General features: G+C 41.4%; 1 protein-coding gene across 4 annotated transcripts in view; it reads right to left on the bottom strand.

Annotated features, from left to right (window-relative positions):
* Positions 1 to 317: 317 nt before the first annotated feature.
* SDC2 (syndecan 2) overlaps positions 318 to 13,798 on the bottom strand; it is a 117,978-nt gene continuing 104,497 nt past the window's right edge. For all 4 annotated transcript variants that reach the window (NM_002998.4, XM_047422076.1, XM_024447228.2 and 1 more), the window contains 3 exons: positions 9,580 to 9,713; positions 3,638 to 3,773; positions 318 to 2,723 (listed from right to left, as the gene is read on the bottom strand). In NM_002998.4, coding sequence (NP_002989.2) covers positions 2,560 to 2,723; positions 3,638 to 3,773; positions 9,580 to 9,713 — 434 coding nt within the window. In that variant the 3' untranslated portion in view covers positions 318 to 2,559. The remainder of the gene's footprint in view (positions 2,724 to 3,637; positions 3,774 to 9,579; positions 9,714 to 13,798) is intronic.

The raw sequence follows: 13,798 nt of genomic DNA, 5'->3' as shown, positions 1-13,798 counted from the left end.
TGAAATTCAGGTACTACGCACCTGCAACTAAAACTGAAAAACAAAAATAAAACCCAAGTGCTTCCTATTCCCCCTACGGGCTGAAAATGGGACAGTGTGACTATCTCAAGTCTCTCAAACACAAAGCCATATTCACTCAAGAGAAATCGTTTACATGTGGTTAAGGAAACAGGAAATTTTCACATTGGCTTTAATATTTACATTTTACCAAAATTTTCCTGAACTCAGTAATCATTACTAACACTTTTTATAGTATTATTTACTGCATCTTAAAAAAAAAAAACTAAGCAGAAAGTGTACAGTTGAAGAAAACTGGATGTCAGTCTATACAATGATTTACTTTTGGCATGACAGACTTTATTTTGGCACTTTCACAAATATTTTGCTTTACAGCAGTGACAAAATATTTGCCAGAAATTTTTCTTTTCCTGGCACGGATATTCCCAGCAGTTGTTATTCTATGAATTGAATTTCACTCTGCTTTGCACAGTTAGAGGTATACCCATTCCTACCCTCTGTAATTGAGGGACACAGCGTGGCTTTAGAAAGCTAGGCTATCGTTTCCTTTTAGTCACTCTAAAGTGAATTGGTTCTGTAAGTGATGGGGCAGGAATCTGAGAATTAATTAAGGCCATTAAGGATTTAAAGTAAACACTGTTCCAAGTGTTGCTTAAAAAAATGTTTTTAATGAATTATGTGGCAATTCCAGGGAATGTTCTCAAAATGAAATATTCATACTTTATTAAAAGTAAATTGTATGTTGGAAAAGTTGCTTTTTTTGCTGTCTTCTTCTGACTTGGACGGCTCACAGTTTAAAACAAAATTAGTGGTAAAATAGAAAAAGGAAATGTTTAGTACAGAAAGTACCAGCCACAGTACCCTCATAACTCCATCTCCTTCCCCAGGCATCACTCTTTCCAGCCACTTCAATCCTAAAGCAGTGAGACCCTCATTTTAACACACAGAGCCTCCCTGCCTACCCTCCTTCCCTGTAACGTGAGCTACTGTAGTCCATTTATTAGTTCTTCGGTTAAGCTTCAGTAGACATTTGGAGCACAATTCCAAAGGTAAATCAATCTATAGGCCTAAGCCTTAGATACCAACATCAGGAAAGCCCCATTCAGATCTTTGGAATTTACAGTCTTGTAAGTTATTTGCAAAAGCAGGCGTCTGTCTTAATATTGCCATCAGTTATCCTATAAAGGTTGCAAACTTCGAAATCCCCTGGCAGCCTTCCAATATCTCTACCTAGACACACACAGGATAATACATTCAGATTTCCTCTGGCCAATTCAGAAGTGAATCTGGTAATAAACAGTCTCATCGACAGGCTCTTTGGTCTTGATTTACAGACACTGTGAAACACTTAGAAATCAAACCCACGTCATCCTTGAGAGCAGACGGCCGTTAGCAAAGGGGAGATGTACATTTGATCAAAAATGTACAAAATTTATAACAGTGACATTTTCAATATTAGGCCACATGATTTATTCAGTAGTTTTTATGTTCCCAAATTACAATTTATGTCTATTCATAAGACTACAAAAGTTACCATTAGAATTGTCTGTGCTTATAAAATACCAACTTTTTTTTTAAACTGTTACATATACTCATTAACACCAGTCTGCAACAAGTTACATAGAATCAGAGGCACTTCAAAGGCTTAAAAAGACGTTTACAACTTAAATGCATTTTTAAGAACAAAAACTGATTTTTCTTTAAACCTCTACTCGTACCTTCAAATTGCAAGAAATTAACAAATACAGTGGCCAAAGGAATCTGCAGCAACTTCTTAAAATACTGTTAACATCTTTGGGTTTGCTGAGGCTTGTCAGTAACTTACATCAAATCCTCCCAAAAGAAGATCTGATTAGATAGATATGACTAAACGGTTTTGTAGTAATAATCCAATTTTACACATTAATTTGCTGTTGCAAATCTGCCCAAAGCTACAGGTAATGAAAAATAAAGCAAGTGTAAAATGGATAGTCTGACACTTAAAAATTTATACAAAGTGGAAGTTAAAGTTTACATATTTGAAAATCACATATACACTAAATTACCATTATCTGAATTTTCCAAAGACAAATTGCACCATGACAGCTACAAAAGGCATAGGGTTTGGTTTTAAGGGCACAAGAAGGGAGGGCAGAGGAGAGGAAGGGGACAACAGATAAATTAACAAAGTAAGACCAACTTGGTAAGGTCAATCTGAGACATGCTGACACAAATGAAACAGCTTTCATCTTTGAGTCATAGGAAAAAGACAATCATTTTGTATTTGCGCATAAAAGTTTAAACCAATTCCATGAACATCGAGGGTTTTCATAACATAATATTTTGCCACTGCTATTCACAGAACACTGCAGATGTTAAATTTTAATTTTATGTTGTTCTAAAGAAATACATGAAATGTTTTAAATACAATGGGATTTTATCATTAAAGTGCCAGAATGGCTCTTTAATGAAAACAAAAAACAAAGATCTTCATTATTCTATGCAAAAGCTTTATTTTGAAAAGTTCAGTGATCTCATAAATAGAGACACTAAGTTGGAGTTTTACGCATAAAACTCCTTAGTAGGTGCCTTCTGATAAGCAGCACTGGATGGTTTGCGTTCTCCAAGGTCATAGCTTCCTTCATCCTTCTTTCTCATGCGATACACCAACAGCAGGATAAGAAAAATTGCAAAGAGAAAGCCAATAACTCCACCAGCAATGACAGCTGAAACAACCAAAAGGAAGATTACTTTAGAAGAGATTCAAGGGTTGCAGACATTAGCTTTATTGTCAAGCCTAATCTACTTACACTTTTATAAAAGGCTTAATTTGAAAACCCCAATAAAAAAAAAGCTGGATTCAATGAAGCAACCTGGTAACTATGCAAATCTGAAACTCCTCAGGAAGGTACAGTAATTTCTTTGGTTAGTGTTAATAATACCACCCAAAAACCTCGATAAGAAAAATCTGGCCTTGATCTTAACTAATTCCATACTTGAAAACTACTTTTGTCTTTTCAGAACTCACATTTCATATTCTAATTTTCTAACTGCTTTTTTTCAACAGAGAACATAGTATAATTGACTTAAAATTTTAAAGAGTATACATGAAAAAAAGCATGCAAATTTATTTCTATTCTTGGATTTGAGACTACCAAGTGTGCCTAAATCTTGAAAGTTTTCCCCTTTAAAATATTTGCACTTCCATCCAATTAAGTTAAAATAGAAACAACGTTCTTAACACTTTGGGCAGTACTTATATGAACTGCCTTCCCCTAAAGAACTTTTCGTTCTCTTTATTTTGAAATGTAGAATGCCTGTGAGCAAGACTGATGGATCTCCACACTCTGCCATCTCTCTACATCCAGTTGTTCTGGATCAATTCAGATGTTAACTTTCCCTCTTTTAGGCTACCTCCTATCCCCTGCCCGATGGCTGGCGAAGAGGTAGGTTGAGGGAGCTGGCAGACAATAAAGACAATGTTTGCTGAGCCTCTTGCTTCTCGCTCTGGAATCAAGCACCCACAAGACTGCTTTCAGCAGAAAGATGACAGCAAGCTTTGCTGCACTTTTGAATATCACTTAGACTAACAGAGGCCTATGTAGGCACCCTCCCACCTGAGGCCCACCAGGCTACTCACCTGCTAGGACTTCTGTCCGTTTAAACAGACTGTCTGAGTGTTTCTCAGTATACACATTTGTATCCTCTTCGGCTGGGTCCATTTTCCTTTCTGAGTCAGAGAGGTGAACTTTCTCTTTATCAGTTTCTTCAGGTGACTGGTATGGGAAACAGGGAAAGATTACATTGATTTAAGGAAATGTGTTGGAAAGAAGAAATAATAGATGAGTATATTCCAAAATTTTTTTTTCCCCCAAAGAATGAGTTTAGGAAATAACTGGAATAATCACTTGTGTGATGTTTATAGCAATGGGTGAGTGTCATGATGGACCCATGTAGTTCATGGTTTGCACAACACCCATCGCATGATCAGGCAAGTCGGAGAGCTAGTGAGTTCATAATAATCCTAAGGACATGGTGAGGTTGTTTTAGTGGACATTTCCTAAGATTTCTACTTTCTCACCACTCTTCTAACTGCAGGTCACCATCTCCCTCTGACTGCTCCAACCCAACAGCACTGCCCCAATTCTCCCTGCTCCTTCACTTCTGAACTACACAGGGCACTAGGACAACAGTTCCCTTTCAGATATTCTCTCACGCCTGACTGGGCTTTTCCTGTCCCCACTCTGTGGGGAGCAATCCCCAAGCCTTACTCCTAATGCTTCCCCCTAGTTATATTACCTTCAGCAAACCCTAGACCAGGACTTCCAGGGACTTGGATTGCGCAAGTAGCTCCTCCCTGATCACATCATACTTCTTTTCTCCACCTTGATTTCCTCACCTGTCTAATGAACGACACTCACTGGGTCTCGGACACTGCACAATGCTCAAGCAGAAATCTATGGGAATACCTCTCACAGCCGCATCTCTAGTCAGCATTATTCCCAACAAGCCAGCAGCCTGCAGGACATTAACTGTTGGCTGTACCACCTTTAACTCTACTCGTCAAGTCTAAGTAGTAATTAATTCACTGCTGAATCAGATCAACCTCCTTTTCTATTCCCATTAATGGCACTGTATTTTGGGGTGTTACCAAGTTATCTATTACGGCACATTTTCTATCATATGTTTTCCATGTCACAGCACTGTCAATTTGCCTCCCATCTTGCTCTCACATTAACTTCTTCCCTTGGGTTCTCATTTCCACAGCTTCGTTCAGGTGGCCAGCACATCACAGCCCAGCTCCCATCCCGCATCGACCTCAGAACTGCAGGTGTTGGGTAGCTTCCAGTCCTCACCCAACCCACCACTTACTCCCAGTAGAAAACCCTGTGAGGTCATTTCCACCACCTCTTCATTATCAAAAATGGTTCTTAGTATCTGTGCTGTAGTTTAGCGGTCCCCAATCTTTCCATGAATGGGAGGGTGGGGGGGATGGAGGGGGATGAAACTATTCCACCTCAGACTCTCATAAGGAGCACAACAGGCACAGTTCACAATCGCGTTTGCGCTCCTAGATCCTATGGGAATGGCACGCCTCCACTGATCTGACAGGAGGCGGAGCTCAGGTGGTAATGCTCACTCACTTCCTGCTGTGCAGCCTGGTTCCTAACAGGCCACCGCTACTGGTCCGTGGCCCCAGAAGCGGGTGGGGAACTCTGCTCTAGTTCATGCAGTTCTATCCCCAGTCCAAATGTTGCACTTCTTTTACTATCTGTTTGTCCTTAATGAAGCCTTCTCTGACCTTTTACCTCACTAAACCCCCAGGATTATTTACACAGAAATTATCTCTTGCCTTTCTAACTCTCAGCACCATCACTGGCCATCTTATGTGAATCACCCAAGGTTACGCTGATCCACATCACCTGAAAGGCATTAAAAAAAATACAGTCCTACTACTAGAGGTTCCATTTCAATTGGTCTGACTTCAGGTCACCATCTCCCTCTGACTGCTCCAACCCAACAGCACTGCCCCAGTTCTCCTTACTCCTTCACTTCTGAGCTATACAGGGCACTATGTAGCTGGCACTGACTTTTACTGCTATTTAAGTTCTCCAGACAATTCCATAGTTTAAGAACCAGTGGATTAGAGAAGTCCCATTCAAAGGAGTTGTTCATTCTCTAACAGTCTGAAGTTCTTGTCGGCCAGCATCACTGATGAAAACACTGTCAACTTCATTGAGGTTTAAAGGCTAAAGGTGGCTGGGTAGGGAGCCCAAGGTGAGAGGATCATTCGAGACCAACCTGGGCAACATACTGAGACCTTGTCTCTACAAAAAAATTTTTAAAATTAGCCAGGCATGGTGCTGTGTACCTGTGGAGGATCTCTTGATCCCAGGAGTTGGAGGCTGCGGTGAGCTATAATTGTGCCACTGCATTCTAGCCTGGGTAACAGAGTGAGACCCTGTCTCAAAAAAAATACTGCAGACAATAATCCTTCTCAGCTCTACTACTCTTCCTAAGTTCCTGAGAGCTTCCTACCATCTTCATTAGGACTCCACAGAGTCTAACATACCATGGCTCAGCAAAGCAAATGATTGCTTTCTGAAGGCTAGAGTTCATCCAAAATGGCGGCCTGCTAGTTAAGTCTAGAGGCTTAAAGAGTGTAAGAAGAAAAGACCTCACACCTTCTTGGGCTGTGCAAGTAGCTCCTGTGGGACCCTGACCACATCATACTTCTTTTCTGCACCTTAAGGCCACCCTCATTGCTAGGAAGGACCATAAGCTAGACCAGGTGGATCCATTTGTACTCTAGGGTATGTAAGATCAATAGGTCCCTGTCTCAGTGAGCAGAACGCTACACTTCTACTGAAGGTGGTATGTAATAAAGTATAATAAAGAGTAACTGTCATTCCCAAATTGCAAGAAACCCTGTACTACCTAAACTTCAACCTGCCATGACTTACAAAAAGCAGAGGCCATAGAGAAATTTCATTTCACTGGTGCACAATATGCACTGAAAATGTCACCGTCCTTTCTATTACTATGAGAGAAGGAAATACGACAGGCCTTCCCAGGCCTTCAGGTACCAAAGTAAAGCAGAAGAGAGCAGCTCATTGGCAGTATTTTTGCTGAGATTTTTCTATTCTTCTCATGAAAAGCCCATCATTAATTGGCTGCCTTGTGGAAAGACAGACAACAGGTCAGAGAATGGATTATCTGGGTTCTAGTCTAGAGACCTTTTCACTGCTCATTAGTACTGCTTTACTATTACAAGTTAGAAAAGGGAAGAGAAATCTCAAATAGGTGAATACTCAGGTTTGTGACTAGGGAGAGAGGTAAACAAGTTCTGGTGAGAAATGAAATGGACCTAAGTAGTTACTGTAATATGAGAGACTGAGTTTAATTCATCCATATCCATATCATCTTTGTCCCATTATTATTACAAATCATATGGTTTCACCATGTGATTGAGTCCCTAAAGTCATTTAAGAGAGTTGATCTTTTCAGTTTCCTCTGACTCAGCCTCTGATCCGGCAGGCTGAACAAAGCGTGCAATCCAGGGATCTGAGAGTGTGGGAACTGAAGGACTCCACAGAACTGGAGCCGCCCTGCAGCTGGAGGTGCACAAGCCTCAAGCGGCTCTGGGTGGAAAATTCATTTTTTAAGTCAAAATGTTTTATCGTATGGAAGCAAAGGCTTGACTAAGAAGATACCATTTGGTAATATGGAACTAATCTGAAATACCTTCACTCTTGTATGAATGTATGTGCAAAATGAATCCGCAAAAAGACAGCAGGGATGATTAAATGAGGCCAAGTAAAGATCTGCCACATCCATGTCTGGTTGTTTGGATGCCATGGAAATGCAACAGAAGTAAAAGCTTATGAGTGATGCTCTTCTCAAACAAATAACGAGATTCCCTTTTGTGCATTTTAGTCACTTAAATTTACAACAAACTAGATAGGATATCCGTAACAGTGACATTAATGCCACTGTGAGACCAATTGAAAAGCAAAATCTACACTAATGGTATCCTAGAGGCAATGTTCAATTCGGCTGTACCACATAAACAGCAAAATGAAAAATTTAATCATTATTATTCATGTTATTCATGATCAATATTATCATTATCAGTGCTGCAAACAGTGTTCGACACATAATGAATAGCACTCAACAAATCTCCTATAAATGGATGAATTTCTACTATTACTATATTGAACACAAATGATAGTAAGAATATAAATGTATTAAAATCTTTTGGGCTCCTTAATTTTTAAATTCACCTGCCAAAGTTCTACATTTTTTATCTCGATCTGATGCAATTACTTCCTTAAAACCAATTTTTAAAAACTTAAATTAGTGGTCAATCCATTGCTGTTAACAAACCAGACAGAACTCTATGTCAAATTAAGTCTTGCTTAGGATAGAACTCTCTATCACTACAAGCCAAAACTCACCCAGGAGAGTTGCTTCCCTCAAGCTAGTGAGTCCTAATTGTCTCTGACTTCAGCAGATTTAGTCAAGAGAAGTGGTCAAATAAAAATGTGGTAAGAGCCAAATGCATCTTTAGTAAATAGTAGCTAATTGTGCCACACACACTCTGAGGCAGTCATCGTACCACCAATTGCACCTGCACTTTTCATTTCTCCCTTTCTTTTTTTGTTTCATTCACTCAACTGAAACATTGATACAGTAGCTTTTATGCATGGATCCAGCACATGCCAGGTGAGTCGGTCTCAGTTCTCATAGGGCTCTCCCTGCCTTCCTACCGCCTGGCTTGTGAAGTCTACCACTAATAGTAATTGACCCTTCTTGGTCCTACAGAAAGCACTTCAATTTGGACAGGGCTGGCTTCCTGGCTGTTCCACATCTGCAGAAACCCATCCAGCGGTGCCATTCACCATTCCAGTCACAGGCACTGGGAGGATGGAGGAGGAGGAAGAACAAAGGTACTCTGGGGCAAGGGTAAGAAAAGCCCACATGCATTCTGGCCTGAAGACGGGATGATTCTTACTCCAAGGAAGGCCTGTCGCCACCTTCATCAAACAGCCTTCCATATCCATACCCTGTCTGCTGCTAAAGCTTGGCAGCATCTCATTTCTAATCAACAGATGGGTGAGCTCTAAAAGGGGATGCTTGTGCTTCTGAGTTTTCTTAAGCCATATGTTACCCCTGCACTGATTGCAAAGTCTACCACTACAGTTATTACACATGCTCATTTGGTGAATTGGCTTGGTCTCTTCTGCTCCACCAATTCAATTAATGCTTACAGAATGGTGACTAGGTCTCAGGTGCCATGCTACATGCACTCACATTTCATCTTCTTCAAGGCCCATAGGAAATGGGTTCAGAAGCTAAGAAACCTGACTGGATCCAGGATTTGAAACTTAGGTCTTTGCCAGACTTTAATATGCATGTTCTAACTTCAGTGGGTTACCTATTAGTGGATGGTCAGCTAACTGCAATATTAACGAGGTCAAAATCACAAGCTCCAAGTTTTCATTAGCTGGTCACTTTACTCAGGTCTAAGGCCAAAGACCTTATTCTTAATAAGTCAGCTCTCAAAATGAATATATACAGATGTACCCAGGTTCATCATCATCGAGAGAGGTCAAGGATTACATAGTACTGATGGTCGGCCTAGGAAGACTGAGAAATGACTTAGTGAGACTAGGACCACCTCAAGACGTGACCTGGAGTCTTCTAATTACGTAACCTACAAACCAGGAAACCAAAGAAACAGGGCTTTACTTCTTAACTGGGCTTCAGACGTTCCTTAAGAAGGAGGGCCATGTGAAAAATAGTTGTATATAATTTGAGCCTGGATGACAGAGATTATAAGTGGGTAAATGCCAAAATGATCAAAAAGAGTAAGGAAGAGCCATTTATAACACCACCTGAAGACCATTTGTCCTTACACAATTTTAAGTGGGGTCTTTTAAAAGAACTGTTGTGTACATAGTTCATGATGGGTAGCTCCAAAAAGAAGAAAATAATACAAAAGGGACTGTTGTGTACAGTCAGTAAAGTGAAGCATTTGTAATAACCTGATAATGCAATGCAATGGAAAATAGAACGCACCTTTGTCTGAGCAGGTATCTTGTTCTGTATATTCAGCGTCGTGGTTTCCACTTTTGGAGCAGCACTAGTCAACAGTATCTTTGGAAGTGGTCGAGATGTTGTCAGCTCTGGACTCTCTACATCCTCATCAGCTCCTGGAAAAGTAAGTGAAGATGAACTGAGCATGGCAATCATGACACAGATGTCTCCATTATCAGGCACTATTGCCTGACGTTGACACTGACAGAATCATGTTCTTTCAAAATGCTGGCTCTTTAAGACTTCAGCACAAAGCTTCCTGTGGTCTTCACCATGATGAAGAAGTGATTTCAAAGGTGTCTGTGGGTAGTCTAGCAAGTTTTTCCTTAATAGTATTATCCTGAACATTCAAGTAGCCCTTCTTTCACTTGCATGTTCCTTTTCTCCCTGCTTGACAAGATTTTTTCCCATCTACACTGAAACGTGCTCCATTTCCATTTTAAGAACACAACAGTCCAGGTGCAGGGGCTCACGCCTGTAATTTCAGCACTTTGGGAGGCCGAGGAGAGCGGATCACGAGGTCAGGAGATCGAGACCAGCCTGGCCTATATGGTGAAACCTCATCTCTACTAAAAATTCAAAAATTTAGCTGGGCGTGGCGGCGCACGCCTGTAATCCCAGCTACTCGGGAGGCTGAGGCAGGAGAATCACTTGAACCTGGAGGTGGAGGTTGCAGTGAGCAGAGGTCACACCATTGCATTCCAGCCTGGGTGGCAGGGTGAGACTCTGCCAAAAATAAAAATTAAAAAAACCCACAACAAAACAAAATGCAAACAGGAAAACTCTCCTATGGCTGACTCCTTATTTCATGTGAGTTCCTTGCCCTCTCTCCCGGGTTTTTGTTTTGTTTCTTTTTTTTTTTTTTTTTTTGGAGATGGAGTCTTGCCCTGTCACCAGGCTGGAGTGCAATGGCACAATCTGGGCTCACTGCAACCTCTGCCTTCCAGGTTGAAGTGATTCTCCTGCCTCAGCCTCCCGAGTAGCTGGGACTACAGGCGCATGCTACGACACCCAGCTAATTTTTTGTATTTTTAGTAGAGATGGGGTTTCACCATGTTGGCCAGGATGGTCTGGATCTCTTGACCTTGTGATCCACCTGCTTCAGCCTCCCAAAGTTCTGGGATTACAGGCGTGAGCCACCGTGCCTGGCCCTCTCCTGGTTTTACAGGCAGATTTTTCCAGTGGGGGTGGATACTCACTAGGTCTTGTCCTCATCATCTTCTCCACTCTGCATTCTACTCCCTCCAGGAGCATTTTCCCTGTCATCACTATTAATACTGTTTTGTTAAGGTCACCAGTATCCACAGCACCCAATGGCACTCTTCAGAATCGCCTTCCTCTAGTAGAAGAACTTCCTAGCACCACTGCACACTGTCAAGTGCCATCTGCTTCCGGACAAACCCTATTTCTTTGGGTTCCTAAGAGTTCCTGGCTTCCCCCTCACCTCTCTGGCTATTCTAAGTTTCCTTTGCTGGTTTATCCTCCTCTACCTCAACATCAAATATCAAAGAGTATCTGAAGGTCTGTCCCTAGGCCTCTTCTTCCTCTACACTTTCTCCCTCATCCATGTCCACAATGTCAATAAATGATGAGTTAAGCACAGATGATACCTAAATTTACATCATCGGCTTTTACCACCCCTCTCAAAGTCACATATCCAGTGGCCTTCCTGGCATTTTCACTTGAATGACTCAAAGGTACAACACACCTCTGAACATGTCCAAACCAGAACTCATGGTCCCTTTGTCTTCTCCTCCTGTGACCTTGCAGTGACTGAAGCCCTCTGTTCCTACACACCAGAACTCTGACTTCCTCTTCCTTACCTTGTTTTTGAATCCATTATCCAGTCCTATCAATCTTATCTTCTTATTATCCCTCCACTCTTAACACCGTTCTACAGTTCCAGGGCCACCACTCCAATCCAAGCCACTGTGACCTTTCCATGAAACACTGTACCTGCCTTCTTCCTAATAGGCCCCTGAGTGCCTAACATAGTGTCTAAGACATAACAGGCTCTGATCTGGTATTTGTTCAACAAGTGACTTTCTACCTGAGCATGATTTTTGTTTGTTGTTGTTGCCTTTTCACTAGAATAGCATTTGAGAATTTCTGACATTCAAATACAACATTCCTTTTAAGTTGATCATTTGTCAAATTTGTAACAACTCAAACAAACTCCAACTCTGTAACTCAAACTAACCAGGCTTCCTCGGACAACACATTGATAAATACCTCTAAATTCCTCAAACAAAAGAAAATGGGTATTTTCCACAGAATCGCATCAATGTAATAAGCAGGTGGGAAAGCAACACATGCTGGAAACATGTGCAATGGCCATGGTTCACTTCTTTCTTTTTCTTTTCTTGCTCTGTCACCCAGGCCAGAGTGCAGGGGTGCGATCATGGCTCACTGTAGCTTCAAACTTGCGGGCTCAAGCAATCCTCTCACCTCAGCCTCCTGAGTAGCTGGAACTAAATATATGTGCCACTGTGCCCAGCTAATATTAAAAAAAAAATTATTATTATTTTTTGTTGTTGAGACGGGGTCTCAACTATGTTGCCAGGTTGGTCTCGAGCTCCTGAGCTCAAGGGATCCTCCTGCCTGGGTCTCCCAAAGTGTTGAGATTATAGGTATGAGGCACTGTGCCCGGCTCCTGGCCGGTTCATTTCTTAATTTATCAACTGTCTCCTTTAATTTCAAAACATATATATTCATTATTATACAGAAGAAATGGCAGGGCATGTTGGAATAAATACAGGGTTTGGTATTAAGAAAGCAAACAAACCTAGTACTGGTTCTGGCATTTATTAGCTCTGTACTCTTAGGCAAGTAATACTTGAGTCTTGGTTTCTTCATTTGTAAAATGGGGCTAATAATAACTAACCCACGAAGGTACATATATATCACAGATACATATCTAACAGACATGATACATATTTAAAGCATTCTATATAAACTGTTACGTAAATATAGGTCATTAATAATGATGGGTCCAGAAATATAATGCTGTTTTATCAGGTGACCTAATTATCTATCAACATTTTACATATAATATGCTTAATTTGTTCCTACAATGAATCATTTTCTTACAAAGAATAAAACTTCAATGAGAAATGAAAAATTTCAGTCTAGGGCTTTTAAAGACCCTCTTGTTTCACAAGAGTTACCAATATGAGTCATCAACCTAGAAGTGGGATGAATCTGTATGAGGGAAGAGATTTGTAACGTAGAAAATCCCCCTTAAGCTGGCACTTTTAAAGTTAAAGACAGGGCCAAGCACAGTAGCTCGCGCCTGCAATCCTAGCACTTTGGGAGGCCGAGGCCGGTGGGTCACGAGGTCAGGAGATCAAGACCATCTTGGCTAACATGGTGAAACCCCATCCCTACTAAAAATAAAAAGAATTAGCCAGGTGTGGTGGTGGGCGCCTGTAGTCCCAGCTACTTGGGAGGCTCAAGCAGGAGAATCACTTGAACCTGGGAGGAGGAGGTTGCAGTGAGCTGGGATACCACCACTGCACTCCAGCCTGGGCAACAGAGTGAGGCTCTGTCTCAAAAAAAAAAAAAAAAAAAGATAGAGACAGATGGGCAATCTGTCTCAGATGGCTCTGCTGCTTTTAATATCTTTATTAAAAACATTAACTCTTTTGCTCAAACCAGAAATCTCGAAGCCCCACTGAATATCTCCTCCTTCAGGTCCTACTGTTCTCCCTGTCTGAAATAGACTACTCCAAGGCCTGTTTCCCTCTGGGAAACTCCTGCTCTCACTATCAAGTACAGCATCAATATCACCCCCTCTCTGAAGCCTTCCTTGATCTCTCCACCAGGGCACCGGTTCTGTCTCTATGTTCCCATGCTCATTCTCTTATTTTTTTTTGTTATTTATTTATTTATTTTGAGATGGAATTTTGCTCGTCACCCAGACTGGAGTGCAATAGTGCAATCACAGCTCACTGCAACCTCCGCCTCCCGAGTTCAAGCGATTCTCCTGACTCAGCCTCCCAAGTAGCTGGGATTACAGGCATGCGCCACCACGCCTGGCTGATTTTTGTATTTTTATTAGAGATGGGGTTTCGCCATGTCAGGCTGTTCTCGAACTCCTGACCTCGAGTGATCCACCTACCTCAGCCTCCCAAACTGCTGGGATTACAGGCGTAACCCACCACACCCAGCCTTATTTTCTTTTTTAAAAATAACATTTTCT

Source organism: Homo sapiens, chromosome 8 (genome assembly GCF_000001405.40).
Source record: "Homo sapiens chromosome 8, GRCh38.p14 Primary Assembly".
Taxonomy (NCBI): Eukaryota; Metazoa; Chordata; class Mammalia; order Primates; family Hominidae; genus Homo; species Homo sapiens.
Note: the sequence above shows the minus strand (reverse complement) of the source record. Positions and strands in the feature narration are given on the sequence as shown.